The sequence below is a fragment of the Homo sapiens genome, chromosome 11 (genome assembly GCF_000001405.40).
Source record: "Homo sapiens chromosome 11, GRCh38.p14 Primary Assembly".
Classification (NCBI taxonomy): domain Eukaryota; kingdom Metazoa; phylum Chordata; class Mammalia; order Primates; family Hominidae; genus Homo; species Homo sapiens.
This window is the reverse complement of record NC_000011.10, coordinates 13545377-13560836: the sequence shown is the minus strand read 5'-3', so window position 1 is coordinate 13560836 and position 15460 is coordinate 13545377. Positions and strand designations below refer to the sequence as shown.

The 15460-nt window shown below is 42.5% G+C and overlaps 1 annotated feature.

Moving 5' to 3' along the window:
* Positions 394-894: an enhancer, noted in NCBI's record as "OCT4-NANOG-H3K4me1 hESC enhancer chr11:13581490-13581990 (GRCh37/hg19 assembly coordinates)". NCBI's record gives its function as "activates a minimal SCP1, AML or CMV promoter by ChIP-STARR-seq in naive H9 embryonic stem cells {active_cell/tissue: H9 hESC(naive)}" and the evidence as "EXISTENCE:reporter gene assay evidence [ECO:0000049][PMID:30033119]".

The window sequence follows — 15460 nt, the reverse complement described above, 5'->3', positions numbered from 1 at the left end:
TGCACGCACCATGCGTTAGCCGAAGCAGGGTGAGGCATTGCCTCACTAGGGAAGCGCAAGGGATCAGGGACTTCCCTTTCCTAGTCAAAGAAAGGGGTGACAGACGGCACCTGGAAAATCAGGTCACTCCCACCCAAATACTGCGCTTTTCCGATGGGCTTAAAAAACGGCGCACCAGGAGATTATACCCTGCACCTGGCTCAGAGGGTCCTACACCCACCGAGTCTCGCTGATTGCTAGCACAGCAGTCTGAGATCAAACTGCAAGGCGGCAGCCAGGCTGGGGGAGGGGCGCCCGTTATTGCCCAGGCTTGATTAAGTAAACAAAGCAGCCAGGAAGCTCGAACTGGGTGGAGCCCACCACAGCTCAAGGAGGCCTGCCTGCCTCTGTAGGCTCCACCTCTGGGGGCAGGGCACAGACAAACAAAAAGACAGCAGGAACCTCTGCAGACTTAAATGTCCCTGTCTGACAGCTTTGAAGAGAGCAGTGGTTCTCCCAGCACGCAGCTGGAGATCTGAGAATGGGCAGACTGCCTCCTCAAGTGGGTCCCTGACCCCTGACCCCCGAGCAGCTTAACTGGGAGGCACCCCCCAGCAGGGGCAAACTGACACCTCACAAGGCCTGGTACTCCAACAGACCTGCAGCTGAGGGTCCTGTCTGTTAGAAGGAAAACTAACAAACAGAAAGGACATCCACACCAACAACCCATCTGTACATCACCATCATCAAAGACCAAAAGTAGATAAAACCACAAAGATGGGGAAAAAACAGAGCAGAAAAACTGGAAACTCTAAAAAGCAGAGCGCCTCTCCTCCTCCAAAGGAACGCAGTTCCTCACCAGCAATGGAACAAAGCTTGATGGAGAATGACTTTGACGAGCTGAGAGAAGAAGGCTTCAGACGATCAAATTACTCCGAGCTAGGGGAGGACATTCAAACCAAAGGCAAAAAAGTTGAAAACTTTGAAAAAAATTTAGAAGAATGTATAACTACAATAACCAATACAGAGAAGTGCTTAAAGGAGCTGATGGAGCTGAAAACCAAGGCTCGAGAACTACATGAAGAATGCAGAAGCCTCAGGAACGGATGCGATCAACTGGAAGAAAGGGTATCAATGATGGAAGATGAAATGAATGAAATGAAGCGAGAAGAGAAGTTTAGAGAAAAAAGTATAAAAAGAAACGAGCAAAGCCTCCAAGAAATATGGGACTATGTGAAAAGACCAAATCTAAGTCTGACTGGTGTACCTGAAAGTGATGGGGAGAATGGAACCAAGTTGGAAAACACTCTGCAGGATATTATCCAGGAGAACTTCCCAGTCTAGCAAGGCAGGCCAACATTCAGATTCAGGAAATACAGAGAACGCCATAAAGATACTCCTCGAGAAGAGCAACTCCAAGACACATAATTGTCAGATTCACCAAAGTTGAAATGAAGGAAAAAATGTTAAGGGCAGCCAGAGAGAAAGGTCGGGTTACCCTCAAAGGGAAGCCCATCAGACTAACAGCGGATCTCTCGGCAGAAACTCTACAAGCCAGAAGAGAGTGGGGGCCAATATTCAACATTCTTAAAGAAAAGAATTTTCAACCCAGAATTTCATATCCAGCCAAACTAAGCTTCATAAGTGAAGGAGAAATAAAATACTTTACAAACAAGCAAATGCTGAGAGATTTTGTCACCACCAGGCCTGCCCTAAAACAGCTCCTGAAGGAAGCGCTAAACATGGAAAGGAACAACCGGTACCAGCCACTGCAAAATCATGCCAAAATGTAAAGACCATTGAGACTAGTAAGAAACTGCATCAACTAACGAGCAAAATAACCAGCTAACATCATAATGACAGGATCAAATTCACACATAACAATATTAACTTTAAATGTAAATGGACTAAATCCTCCAATTAAAAGACACAGACTGGCAAATTGGATAAAGAGTCAAGACCCATCAGTGTGCTGTATCCAGGAAACCCATCTCACGTGCAGAGACACACATGGGCTCAAAACAAAAGGATGGAGGAAGATCTACCAAGCAAATGGAAAACAAAAAAAGGCAGGGGTTTCAATCCTAGTCTCTGATAAAACAGACTTTAAACCAACAAAGATCAAAAGAGACAAAGAAGGCCATTACATAATGGTAAAGGGATCATTCCAATAGGAAGAGCTAACTATCCTAAATATATATGCACCCAATACAGGAGCACCCAGATTCATAAAGCAAGTCCTGAGTGACATACAAAAAGACTTAGACTCCCACACATTAATAATGGGAGACTTTAACACCCCACTGTCAACATTAGACAGATCAATGAGACAGAAAGTCAACAAGGATACCCAGGAATTGAACTCAGCTCTGCACCAAGCGGACCTAATAGACATCTACAGAACTCTCCACCCCAAATCAACAGAATATACATTTTTTTCAGCACCACACCACACCTATTCCAAAATTGACCACATACTTGGAAGTAAAGCACTCCTTAGCAAATGTAAAAGACAGAAATTATAACAAACTGTCTCTCAGACCACAGTGCAATCCAACTAGAACTCAGGATTAAGAATCTCACTCAAAACCGCTCAACTACATGGAAACTGAACAACGTGCTCCTGAATGATTACTGGGTACATAACGAAATGAAGGCAGACATAAAGATGTTCTTTGAAACCAATGAGAACAAAGACACCACATACCAGAGTCTCTGGGATGCATTCAAAGCAGTGTGTAGAGGGAAATTTAGAGCACTAAATGCCCACAAGAGAAAGCAGGAAAGATCCAAAATTGACACCCTAACATCACAATTAAACGAACTAGAAAAGCAAGAGCAAACACATTCAAAAGCTAGCAGAAGGCAAGAAATAACTAAAATCAGAGCAGAACTGAAGGAAATAGAGACACAAAAAACCCTTCAAAAAATTAATGAATCCAGGAGCTGGTTTTTTGAAAGGATCAACAAAATTGATAGACCGCTAGGAAGACTAATAAAGAAAAAAAGAGAGAAGAATCAAATAGAAATAATAAAAAATGATAAAGGGGATATCACCACTGATCCCACAGAAATACAAACTACCATCAGAGAATACTACAAACAACTCTATGCAAATAAACTAGAAAATCTAGAAGAAATGGATAAATTCCTGGACACATACACTCTCCCAAGACTAAACCAGGAAGAAGTTGAATCTCTGAATAGACCAATAACAGGATCTGAAATTGTGGCAATAATCAATAGCTTATCAACCAAAAAGAGTCCAGCACCAGATGGATTCACAGCTGAATTCTACCAGAGGTACAAGGAGGAACTGGTACCATTCCTTCTGAAACTATTCCAATCAATAGAAAAAGAGGGAATCCTCCCTAACTCATTTTATGAGGCCAGCATCATCCTGATACCAAAGCTGGGCAGAGACACAACAAAAAAAGAGAATTTTAGACCAATATCCTTGATGAACATTGATGTAAAAATCCTCAATAAAATACTGGCAAACCGAATCCAGCAGCACATCAAAAAGCTTATCGACCATGATCAAGTGGGCTTCATCCCTGGGATGCAAGGCTGGTTCAATATACGCAAATCAATAAATGTAATCCAGCATATAAACAGAACCAAAGACAAAAACCACAGATTATCTCAATAGATGCAGAAAAGGCCTTTGACAAAATTCAACCACCCTTCATGCTAAAAACTCTCAATAAATTAGGTATTGATGGGACGTATCTCAAAATAATAAGAGCTATCTATGACAAACCCACAGCCAATATCATACTGAATGGGCAAAAACTGGAAGCATTCCCTTTGGAAACTGGCACAAGACAGGGATGCCCTCTCTCACCACAACTATTCAACATAGTGTTGGACGTTCTGGCCAGGGCAATTAGGCAGGAGAAGGAAATAAAGGGTATTCAATTAGGAAAAGAGGAAGTCAAATTGTCCCTGTTTGCAGACGACATGATTGTATATCTAGAAAACCCCATTGTCTCAGCCCAAAATCTCCTTAAGCTGATAAGCAACTCCAGCAAAGTCTCAGGATACAAAATCAATGTGCAAAACTCACAAGCATTCTTATACACCAATAACAGACAAACACAGAGCCAAATCATGAGTGAACTTCCAATTCACAATTGCTTCAAAGAGAATAAAATACCAAGGAATCCAACTTACAAGGGATGTGAAGGACCTCTTCAAGGAGAACTATAAACCACTGCTCGAGGAAATAAAAGAGGATACAAACAAATGGAAGAACATTCCATGCTCATGGGTAGGAAGAATCAATATCGTGAAAATGGCCATACTGCCCAAGGTAATTTACAGATTCAATGCCATCCCCATCAAGCTACCAATGACTTTCTTCACAGAATTGGAAAAAACTTCTTTAAAGTTCATATGGAACCAAAAAAGAGCCCACATCGCCAAGTCAATCCTAAGCCAAACGAACAAAGCTGGAGGCATCACGCTACCTGACTTCAAACTATACTGCAAGACTACAGTAACCAAAACAGCATGGTACTGGTACCAAAACAGAGATATAGATCAATGGAACAGAACAGAGCCCTCAGAAATAACGCCGCATATCTACAACTATCTGATCTTTGACAAACCTGAGAAAAACAAGCAATGGGGAAAGGATTCCCTATTTAATAAATGGTGCTGGGAAAACTGGCTAGCCATATGTAGAAAGCTGAAACTGGATCCCTTCCTTACACCTTATACAAAAATTAATTCAAGATGGATTAAAGACTTCAACGTTAGACCTAAAACCATAAAAACCCTAGAAGAAAACTTAGGCATTACCATTCAGGACATAGGCATGGGCAAGGACTTCATGTCTAAAACACCAAAAGCATTGGCAACAAAAGCCAAAATTGACAAATGGTATCTAATTAAACTAAAGAGCTTCTGCACAGCAAAAGAAACCACCATCGGAGTGAACAGGCAACCTACAAAATGGGAGAAAATTTTCGCAACCTACTCATCTGACAAAGGGCTAATATCCAGTATCTACAATGAACTCAAACAAATTTACAAGAAAAAAACCAACAACCGCATCAAAAAGTGGGCGAAGGACATGAACAGACACTTCTCAAAAGAAGACATTTATGCAGCCAAAAAACACATGAAAAAATGCTCACCATCACTGGCCATCAGAGAAGTGCAAATCAGAACCACAATGAGATACCATCTTACACCAGTTAGAATGGCAATCATTAAAAAGTCAGGAAACAACAGGTGCTGGAGAGGATGTGGAGAAATAGGAACACTTTTACACTGTTGGTGGGACTGTAAACTAGCTCAACCATTGTGGAAGTCAGTGTGGTGATTCCTCAGGGATCTAGAACTAGAAATACCATTTGACCCAGCCATCCCATTACTGGGTATATACCCAAAGGACTATAAATCATGCTGCTATAAAGACACATGCACACGTATGTTTATTGTGGCATTATTCACAATAGCAAAGATTGGAACCAACCCAAATGTCCAACAATGATAGACTGGATTAAGAAAATGTGGCACATATACACCATGGAATACTATGCAGCCATAAAAAATGATGAGTTCACGTACTTTATAGGGACATGGATGAAACTGGAAATCATCATTCTCAGTAAACTATCGCAAGAACAAAAAACCAAACACCGCATATTCTCACTCATAGATGGGAACTGAACATTGAGAACACATGGACACAAGAAGGGGAACATCACACTCTGGGGACTGTTGTGGGGTGGGGGGAGGGGGGAGGGATAGCATTGGGAGATATACCTAATGCTAGAGGACGAGTTAGTGGGTGCAGTGCACCAGCATGGCACATGTATACATATGTAACTAACCTGCACATTGTGCACAGGTACCCTAAAACTTAAAGTATAATAAAAAAAGAAAAAGAAAAAGAAAAAAAAAGAACGTGTCCTTTATATAGTCTGGATTCTAGTCTCTTAGCCAACTTATGTTTTTCAAATGCTTTATCCCACTTTGAGGGTTGTTTTTTTACCCTCTCAGAGGTGTCTTCTGAATCATAAACATTCTTAATTCAGAGGAAGTGAAATTTTAAAATATTTTCTGTAGTTGGTTGTGTTCTTAGTTTCACATGTAAAAAAACTTTTTGCTTAATTGATATGCTTTTCCTGTGTCCCCACCTAAATCTCGAATTGTAGCCCCCATAATTCTCACATGTCATGGAGAGATCTATTGGGAGGTAATTGAATTATGAGGATGGGTCTTTCTCATAGCAGCGAATAAGTCTCATGAGATCTGATGGTTTTATAAAAGGGAGTTCCCCTGCACATGCTCTCTCTCCTTGCCTCCCACCATGAAAGACGTGACTTTACTCCTCCTTTGCCTTCCATCATGATTGTGAGGCCTCCCCAACCATGTGGAACTGTGATTCAATTAAACCTATTTTCTGTATAAATGACACAGTCTTGGGTATGTCTTTATTAGCTGCCTGAGAACAGACTAATACACTAATCTAGGTTCATGAAGATCTACAACCTATTTTTTCTTGTAAGCATTTTATACATTTAGGTCTTTGGTTCACTTCTAGTTAATTTTTGTATATGATATGGGGAAGAGGTTCACATTCATTTTTTCCCATATGGATATCCATTTGTCCCAGCGCCATTTGTTGAAAAGACTATTCTTTTCCAAATGAATTGTCTTGGGGTTCTTGTTGAAATATACTGACCATAAAATGTGAGGGTTTATTTCTGGACTCACAGTTCCACTTCATTAATCTGTACATCAAGACCACACTGTCTTGATTACTGTAGCTTTGTCTAAAGTTTTGACACTGAAAAGCTTGAGCCCTCCAAATGTATTCTTCTATTTAGAGATTGTTTTTGATTGGCTATTCTGGGTCCCTTGAGTTTCCATATGAATTTTTGAATTAGCTTGTCAATTTCTGCAAAGAAGTCAATTGGAATGAATCTCACATATGACCATTACATAATACTTGAACATGAATCTTGTGAGTTATATTTATTATCATAGTTAATCTGCGCTATGAAATTCTATGAAGTTGCTCTTAGAGGTTGGCATTTGAAAGCCATAACAGAAATTTCTATTTGTTTATAAAAATCTACGTCATTTAAAAAACATTATCTTTATGATGCATAATAATATACACAGAAGTGTAACACAACATGAGATATTTTGTTATTCTTTTCGGATGTACCATGTAATACTTTGTTGTGGAGGTTGGATGTTAGCCATAGGGCAGACAGATTTTTCTTTTTTGGTTAACAACACAGTGCTGAACAGTAATAATAGGATTAATCTTTCTTCTTCTTTTCCTTCTCCTTCTCCTTATTCTCCTTTCTTCTTTTAGAGACAGGGTGTCTCACTTTGTTGCTCAGGCTGGACTGCAGTGGTGCAATCTCAATTCACTGCAACCTCCATCTCCTGGGCTCAAGTGATCCTCCCACTTTAGCCTCCCAAGTAGCTGGGACTACAGGTGTGCCTCACCATGCCAGGCCAGTTTTTTTGTATTTTTTGTAGAGACAGGGTTTTCCCATGCTGCCCAGGCTGGTCTCAAACTCCTTGGCCTCTCAAAGTGCTGGGATTATGGGCATAAGCCACAGTGCCTGGCCACTTTGACATTAATCTTAAAGTTCAATTGGAGAGCTCTCACATTAGTTCAGAAATTTTTTTCCAAAAAGAAAAACAGAATACCCGTGAGTCCATCAAATATAACACTTTTAAAGTAGAAATGATAAACTGAGCCCCTGTGGTACATCTGCCCATCTCTTCATTGTGAAACTTAAGTTATCTACACTGGTCACTTCTTTCTGACCCAGATAAAGTGTTTCTTTAATTGTTGGAGGTGGCTTCCTTATCTCACTATGCAGACAGTTCTTGCCAAGGACTCCTGTGTCACCAATCAGTTTTCCTTTGACTCATGTAACCTCTGCACTTCATTAGACACAATTGCCTGCTCCCTACTTCGTGAACTCTCCTCCACGGCTTCTCTGGGATCATGCCACCTGGATCTTCTACTTCTGACCTCCTGGTCTCTGTTTTCTCCACTGCTGTCTTCTCTCCCTCCACCACATTCCAGGCACATGCCCTAGGCTACCCTAGTCCTTGCTCACAGGTTTCACAACCATTCCTACCCTGACATCTTCTCACCCAGGCTCACACCTCCTCTTTCCTACAGGACAGATCTATTTGGATGTCACTTCACCTCAAATACAGTATGTCCAGTATGGCCTCTCTTGACACTCCAAACCAATTTCCTTTTAATTGCATTTCTTAGTGGTAACACCCATTTCCCAAGGTCATTAGATTTCAGCATCTGACCCCTGCTTAGCCCTGTATTCAACTGCCATGAAGTCCTGCAGATACTTTTTGATAGAATTCTCAAACCAACTTATTCATCTTCATTTCACTTCTACCCCTTCTAGCCCTCCTTCACTTGTTTTTAAAGCTTCTTGTGCATGAGGCCAAGGGCAGCGTGGTAAAAGCTCTAATCTGATAGACATGCATCAACCTGGAAGGCAAGTTATGCCCTAAAAGCTGGGTCAGATAAAATGAGCTGTTGATCAATGTTGAGAGCAATTGTCAGATGATATCAGGAAGAACTAATACAATTACTACCTCCTATTGTATTTCTGCAAGTTCCCCCATGTCTCCCTGATACCCTAATGCTATTAGTACGTTTGGCTCACACGCACCTCTGTACTTGTATTTATTTGGTTAGTCTGGCTTGGTGGTGCTAGTTTAGGATGATCACATTGAAAAGTTGTTGATTAATGTCATAACGGCTTTAGTTCCGTGGTGAAAGCAAGAATGCGGTCAAGCACACCCCTAGGTTGGTTGCCACATGAACCAACAGGTGGACAGGCACAAAAAGGTATAATTCTTAACACCACGTACACTGAGTCAACAGGACAGTTTCAGAAACTGGAGTTAAAATGGAGCTTTCCAGAACCAGAGGGGACAAAAACCAATACACAAATTCTGGGCAGGAGTTTTTCTAAGCTTGCTAATACCTGTAAAAACAAGAGCAACTCACTTCTTTACACTGAACCCCATCTGAACTCTCCTTGTCTTTCACATCTAACAGGGCTCAGTATCTCTTGCATGTAAGTAGCTATCACTTATACAGCACTTTACATGGGCTAGTGTATTCATCACAGACTTTCTATTTTATGATATTTTGATGTGTTGGGGAGCCCAACTACCCAGGGAAAGACTGCCCCACAGAGGGATAACTAATTTTTAGAGATAATAAACAACTGGCATGCACACATGCATCTCACACGCAAATGAATCAATCCCAGGTCCATACCCCCAACCTCCTCTTTTATCTACCTCACACACCAACCCAATATTTACCCTTTCCTAAATCACCCAGGTCCAGCTAGATAACTAAAGACCACCCTGTAACCCAGAGCCCACCAGAATTATTCTAACTAGCCAATCCTAACCTGTTTCCTATGCCCTGCCTTGCCTTTTTCGTGGGAAATACAGGAAGGGTCTGGGCCGGGCCTCCTCTTTCTCCTTTCTGCCTCCTGACTGACACTGATGCTTTCCAAGGTGGCCCTGCATGGCATGGCATACTCCCTCCTCTAGGAAAATGTAAGTAATTAAAATCTGTCTTTAATGGCATTATCCTCTCCTTGTGGTCATCAATCACTTCCATAAGTTAAAATGCTATGAGTACAACTGAGACAGCTAAGAATCATTGGATAACTTTGCATGGACAAACTCATTTAATTTTTATAACAACTACATGAGGTATATACTACTATTTTCTCTATCTAACAAGGAGGACATAAAGGTACAGAGAGGCTAAGAAAGTTGTTCAAGGCCCTGTGAGTGAATGGCAGAGCTAGGATGCAAACCCAGTCAGCCTTGTGTCAGCCAGTCTGTGGTTTCACAACTGACTGTACTGCCTCTTGGGGAAGCTGGGGTGTGTTATGTGTTATAAACCTAACCTGGACATCCTTTTTACCACTACAGGCCTCTTGCAAGAATTGCCTGTCTTGTGTGAAATCCTGTCTTAAATTAGTTATCAGAATGAGGAACAAACATATCTGGGCCCTAAAAAGCATCACTGTCTCGATCCCAGTTGGTTGACTTGGGATGAATACAGAAAAGAATATCCAGGTAAAAGTGTCTAGAATTCAGATGCTACAGGGATGACAATTCTTACTTTGTTCCTTGGATTTATCTTTTGGTAAGAATGTAGCACCAGTACTAAACACATAAGAGCACAGTTCTTTTCTTTTTTAGATGGCAGATAGGAGGCGGTGTTAGTGTGTCTCTCCTACTTGGAAGGACAGAATAGTGGGCAGGGATTAACACTGTGAATTTTTTTTTTCCAAGAACCACTGCAAGAACTTACCAGGAAAACCAAAAGAAACCACAGATCCTTTGAAAGAAGTGTAAGGCTGCAGCCTATCCCATGAAGCAGGCAAAAAAACTATAAGTTTCCAGAGAGTGCAGGGGGAGAGCCTACGTCCAAACATACATCCCCACCAGGGAATCTGAAAATCCAGATCATGGGAGAAAGCCTTAACCCTTCCCAGAGCTGGAACGGATTTAGGGAGCAGCATGAAATATAAAAGTGGAAGCAGCAGTGGGAAGTGCCTTGTAGGCATTCCCAGTCTCCAGCACAAGTCGAGGGAAACCATTCCTGACTATATTTCACAGAGGCCTTCTGGGATGTCAGCCAATGAACTCAGGGCAGGGTCACAGGGTGAAAGAAGCTACCAACTGAATTTTGTGATATAATTTCAAGTTGGGACAAACTCCCTTGAACAGAATCCAGGGGTAAGCAGGAAGTGTGCTGCAGACAAGAGTACAGAAGCTGGGCACCCAGCCTTGCAGGCAGATGTGGAGGGGACGTGGACTAAGAGCCATGTTTGCTATCTCTGTGGGGAAGCTTATGGCCTGGGGCACATCTGAGTTTTGTGTGCAGGCTGCCTGGATCTAAACCCAGTGCTGTTAGTGGGGCATTGCAGGAGTGAGATTGGCCTTGCCAACTGCATGGGAGCTGGGTGAGGCCTTCCACTGCCAGCTATTCCCTACTCCCCTTGTAAACTCTTCCACACAGCAGAGGCAGTTATACTCCCCTCTGGAACATTATCCCAGAGGCCTGAGAATCACCCTTTGTCCCCCACAGTGGCTGTGGCTGGCCCTGCTCAAGGAGAGTCTGAGCTCAGACCCTCCTAAACCTGAGCCTACCTGATGGTATTCCTCTACTTGCCCTAGGAGCCTAACAAAAAGACAAACTTTTGGGAGTTTTATGGCCCCACCCATCACCTGAGAAATCAGCATACTTCCTCTTTACAACTTAGGGCAAGCTCAAATCCCATTGCTACTACCACAGCTGGCGCTCTCTTGCAAGTGCCACCTCGTGACTGAAGGCCAACCAACTCAGGCCATTACAGCACATCTTGGCAGATTAATACTGCTCCCAGGAAGGAGAAAATAGCTGCTAACACCACTGCCTGCAACATCCTGGCTAACCAGAGGTCCTGAGTCTGTCCACATGACAAGTTCACTACTAGCATAACCAGCATTTGAGAAAGCCAGCACGCTAAATCTATCCACAACCAAGTAGTCTCACAGAGTCTGCATCACTCCCCTGTAACCTCCATCAGAGCAGGTGCTGGTATCCATTTCTGGGACACTTGAAGACAGGTCACATCACTGGATCCTTGGCAGACATTCTCCAGCACCAGCCCAGAAACTGGTAGCCTTACTGGGTGGCTAGACCCAGAAGAGCAATAAAAATCACTGCAGTCAGGCTCTCAGGAAGCCCCGTTCCCAGGGGAAGGGGGAGAGCACCACATCAAGGGATAACCTCATGGAATAAAAGATTCTGAACAGCAGGCCTTGAGTCCCAGATATTTCCACAACTGCAGTGCTGGGCACAGTAGGGAAAGTCTGCACCTCTACCCCAATAGGCAGGTAACCTCTGTGATCATGAAGGGCTTTGGAGAAGGGATCATTGTTCCCTCAGGCACACCACTGCAGACACAGCTGGGGCTTTTTGCCTCAGGAAGGCAGCATGGATGCACCTATAGACAGCCTTCCTGAAACAATGCAGGGTAATTACAGCCCACAGGAGGAGTACTCCCCAGATTCAGGCCTGCATGAGACACAGAGTCAGAATTCCTCCCTAGTTGGAACATTAAATTCCTATAGATGAAAAAAAGATGCCTGTCTGAACTGAATAGCCAGAACACTGGGACAGGAGTGAAGCTAAGCTGTGAGGTGTATACCTTTCCTTCTTGCCTGGCAGGGGAGCTGAGGTAGCTCCCCCTCTTCAACCTGATAAAACCTCAGCACATATAATTGAGAGCTCCCTCAGCCACCTTCATCAAGGCTGGGACCTCTGCCCACCACTGAGTATTACATCTACCCATCTGCCTTAGCTACAACCAGTGCCCACTAAGGGATACCTCCCCTATTGGCCTGAAGCCTGAATCATCAACTCCATAAGTAAAATACTGAGTAAAAATCAAATAAATAAAATGTACGCCATGAGAGAATGGGATAAGCTTCAAGAGATCCCTGCCATTCTCAACCAATAGGAGACAGTAAACTTGCCCACACAATGAGTATATAACTACTACAACCAGCATCTAAGAAAGCCAGTGCAAAAAGACTCTATAACTAAGGAACTCATACAGAGTCTTCACCCCTAAAAGCACCAATAATCAAATTAGGCAAAAATAAAGTATAAACATTAAAGTCTGATCCTCAGGAGGGGAAAAATGAAATTAAAAAACCACAGTCCAATCAAAAATAAATTCATGAACAATTTCAAGAAATAGTCTGCTCAAATAAGAAGGAACCAGAAAAGTAATTCTGGTAATATGACAAAACAGGGCTCTATAAACACCCCCAAAAGATCACACTAACTCCCCAGCAGTAGATCCAAACCAAAAAGAAGTCTCTGAAATGCCACATAAAGAATTCGGAGGGTTGATTATTAAGTTACTCAAGGTAGCTTAATATTTCCCAGATACCAGAGAAAGGTGAATACCAACTTAAATATTTTTTTAAAAAATCCAGGATATGAATGTAAAAATCTTCCAGGGAAAAAGAAACCATAAAGAAAAAACACTCAGAACTTCTGGAAATGAAAGACACACTTAGAGAAATAGAAAATGCAGTGAAAGTTTCAACAATAGACTAGAACAAGCAGAAAAAAGAATTTCAGAGTTAAAAGATATGGCTTTTGAATTAACCCAATCAGGCAAAGACAAAATTTTTTTTTAAATGAACAAACTCGCCAAGAAATATGTTGTATTAGTCGATTTTCACACTGCTGATAAAGACATACCTGAGACTGGATAATTTATGAAGAAAAACACGTTTAATGGACTCACAGTTCCATATAGCTGGGGAGGTTTCACAATCATGGTGGAAGGTGAAGGGCAAGTCTTACATGGAGGCAGGCAAGAGAGAAAATGAAAACCAAGTGAAAGGGGTTTCCCCCTATCAAACCATCTGATTTTGTGAGACTTATTCCCTACAATGAGAACAGTATGGGGGAAACTGCCACCACGATTCAATTATCTCCCACCAGGTCCCTCCCACAACATGTGGGAATTATGGGAGCTACAATTCAAGATGAGATTTGAGAGGGGACAATGCCAAACCATATAATTCCACACCTGGTCCCTCCCAAATCTCATGTCCTCACATTTCAAAACCAATGATGCCTTCCCAACAGTCCCCCAAATCTTAACTCATTCCAGCATTAACTCAAAAGTCCACAGTCAAAAGTCTTATCTGAGACAAGGCAAGTCCCTTCTGCCTATGAGCCTGTAAAATAAAAAACCAGTTAGTTACTTCCTAGATACAATGGGGGTATAGACATTAGATAAATACACCCATTCCAAATGGGAGAAATTGGCCAAAATGAAGGGAAAAAAGGCCCCATGGAAGTCTGAAATCCAGCAGGGCAGTCAAATCTTAAAGCTCCAAAATTATCTCCTTTGAATCCATATCTCACATCCAGGTCACGCTGATGCAAGAGGTGGGTTCCCATGGTCATGGACAGCTCCACCCCTGTGGTTTTGTAGGGTATAGCCTCCCTCCCGGCTGCTGTCACAGGCTGGCATTGAGTGTCTGCAGCTTTTCCAGGCACACAGTGCAAGTTGTTGGTGGATCTACCATTCTGGAATCTGGAGGACAGTGGCCCTCTTCTCACAGCTCCACTAGGCAGTGCCTCAGTGGGGACTCTGGGTGGGGTCTTCAACCCCACATTTTCCTTCTACACTTTCCTGGCAGAGGTTCTCCATGAGGTCCCCACCCCTGCAACAAATTTCTATCTGGACAACCAGGCATTCCCATACATCCTCTGAAATCTAGGTGGAGGTTTCCAAACCTCAATTCTTGACTTCTGTGCCACTGCAGGCTCAATACCATGTGTAAGCTGCCAAGGCTTGGGGCTTACACTCTCTGAAGCCACAGCCCAAGCTGTACCTTGGCCCCTGTTAGCCATGGCTAGAGCAGCTGGGACACATGGCACCAAGTCCCTAGGCTGCACACAGCAGAGGGGCCCTGGGCCTGGACCATGAAAACATTTTTTCCTCCTAGGCCTCCAGGCCTGTGATGGGAGAGGCTGCCACAAAGTTCTCTTACAAGCCCTGGAGACATTTTCCCCATTGTCTTGGTGATTAACATTTGGATCCTCATTACGTATGCAAATTTCTGCAGCTGGCTTAAATTTCTCCTCGGAAAATGGGTTTTTCTTTTCTGTTGCATCATCAGGCTGCAAATTTTCCAGACTTTTATGCTCTTTTTCCCTTTTAAAACTTAATGATTTTAACAGCACCCAAGTCATCTCTTGAACACTTTGCTGCTTAGTGATTTCTTACACCAGATACTCTAAATCATCTCCCTCAAGTTCAAAGTTCCATGAGTCTCTAGGGCAGGGGCAAAATGCCACCAATCTCTTTGCTAAAACATAGCAAGAGTTACCTTTACTCCAGATCCCAACAAGTTCTTCATCTCCATCTGAGAACACCTCAACCTGGATTTCATTGTGTATAACATTATTAGCATTTTGGTCAAAGCCGTTCAACAAGCCTCTAGGAAGTTCCAAATTTTCTCACATTTCCCTGTCTTTTTCTGAACCTCCAAACTGTTCCAACCTCTGCCTGTTACTCAGTTCCAAAGTCACTCCTACATTTTTGGGTATCTTTACAACAGCTCCCCTCTCTACTGATACCAATTTACTGTATTACTCCATTTTCATGCTGCGGATACAGATATACCTGAGACTGGGTAATTTATAAAGAAAAACACATTTAATGGACTCACAGTTCCATGTGACTAGGGAGGCCTCACAATCACGGTGGAAGGCAAAAGGCACGTCTTACATGGTAGCAGGCAAGAGAGAAAATGTGAACCAAGTGAAAGGGGTTTCCCCTTATAAAATCATCAGATCTCATGAGACTTTTTCACTACACAAGAACAGTATGGGGAAAACCACTGCCAT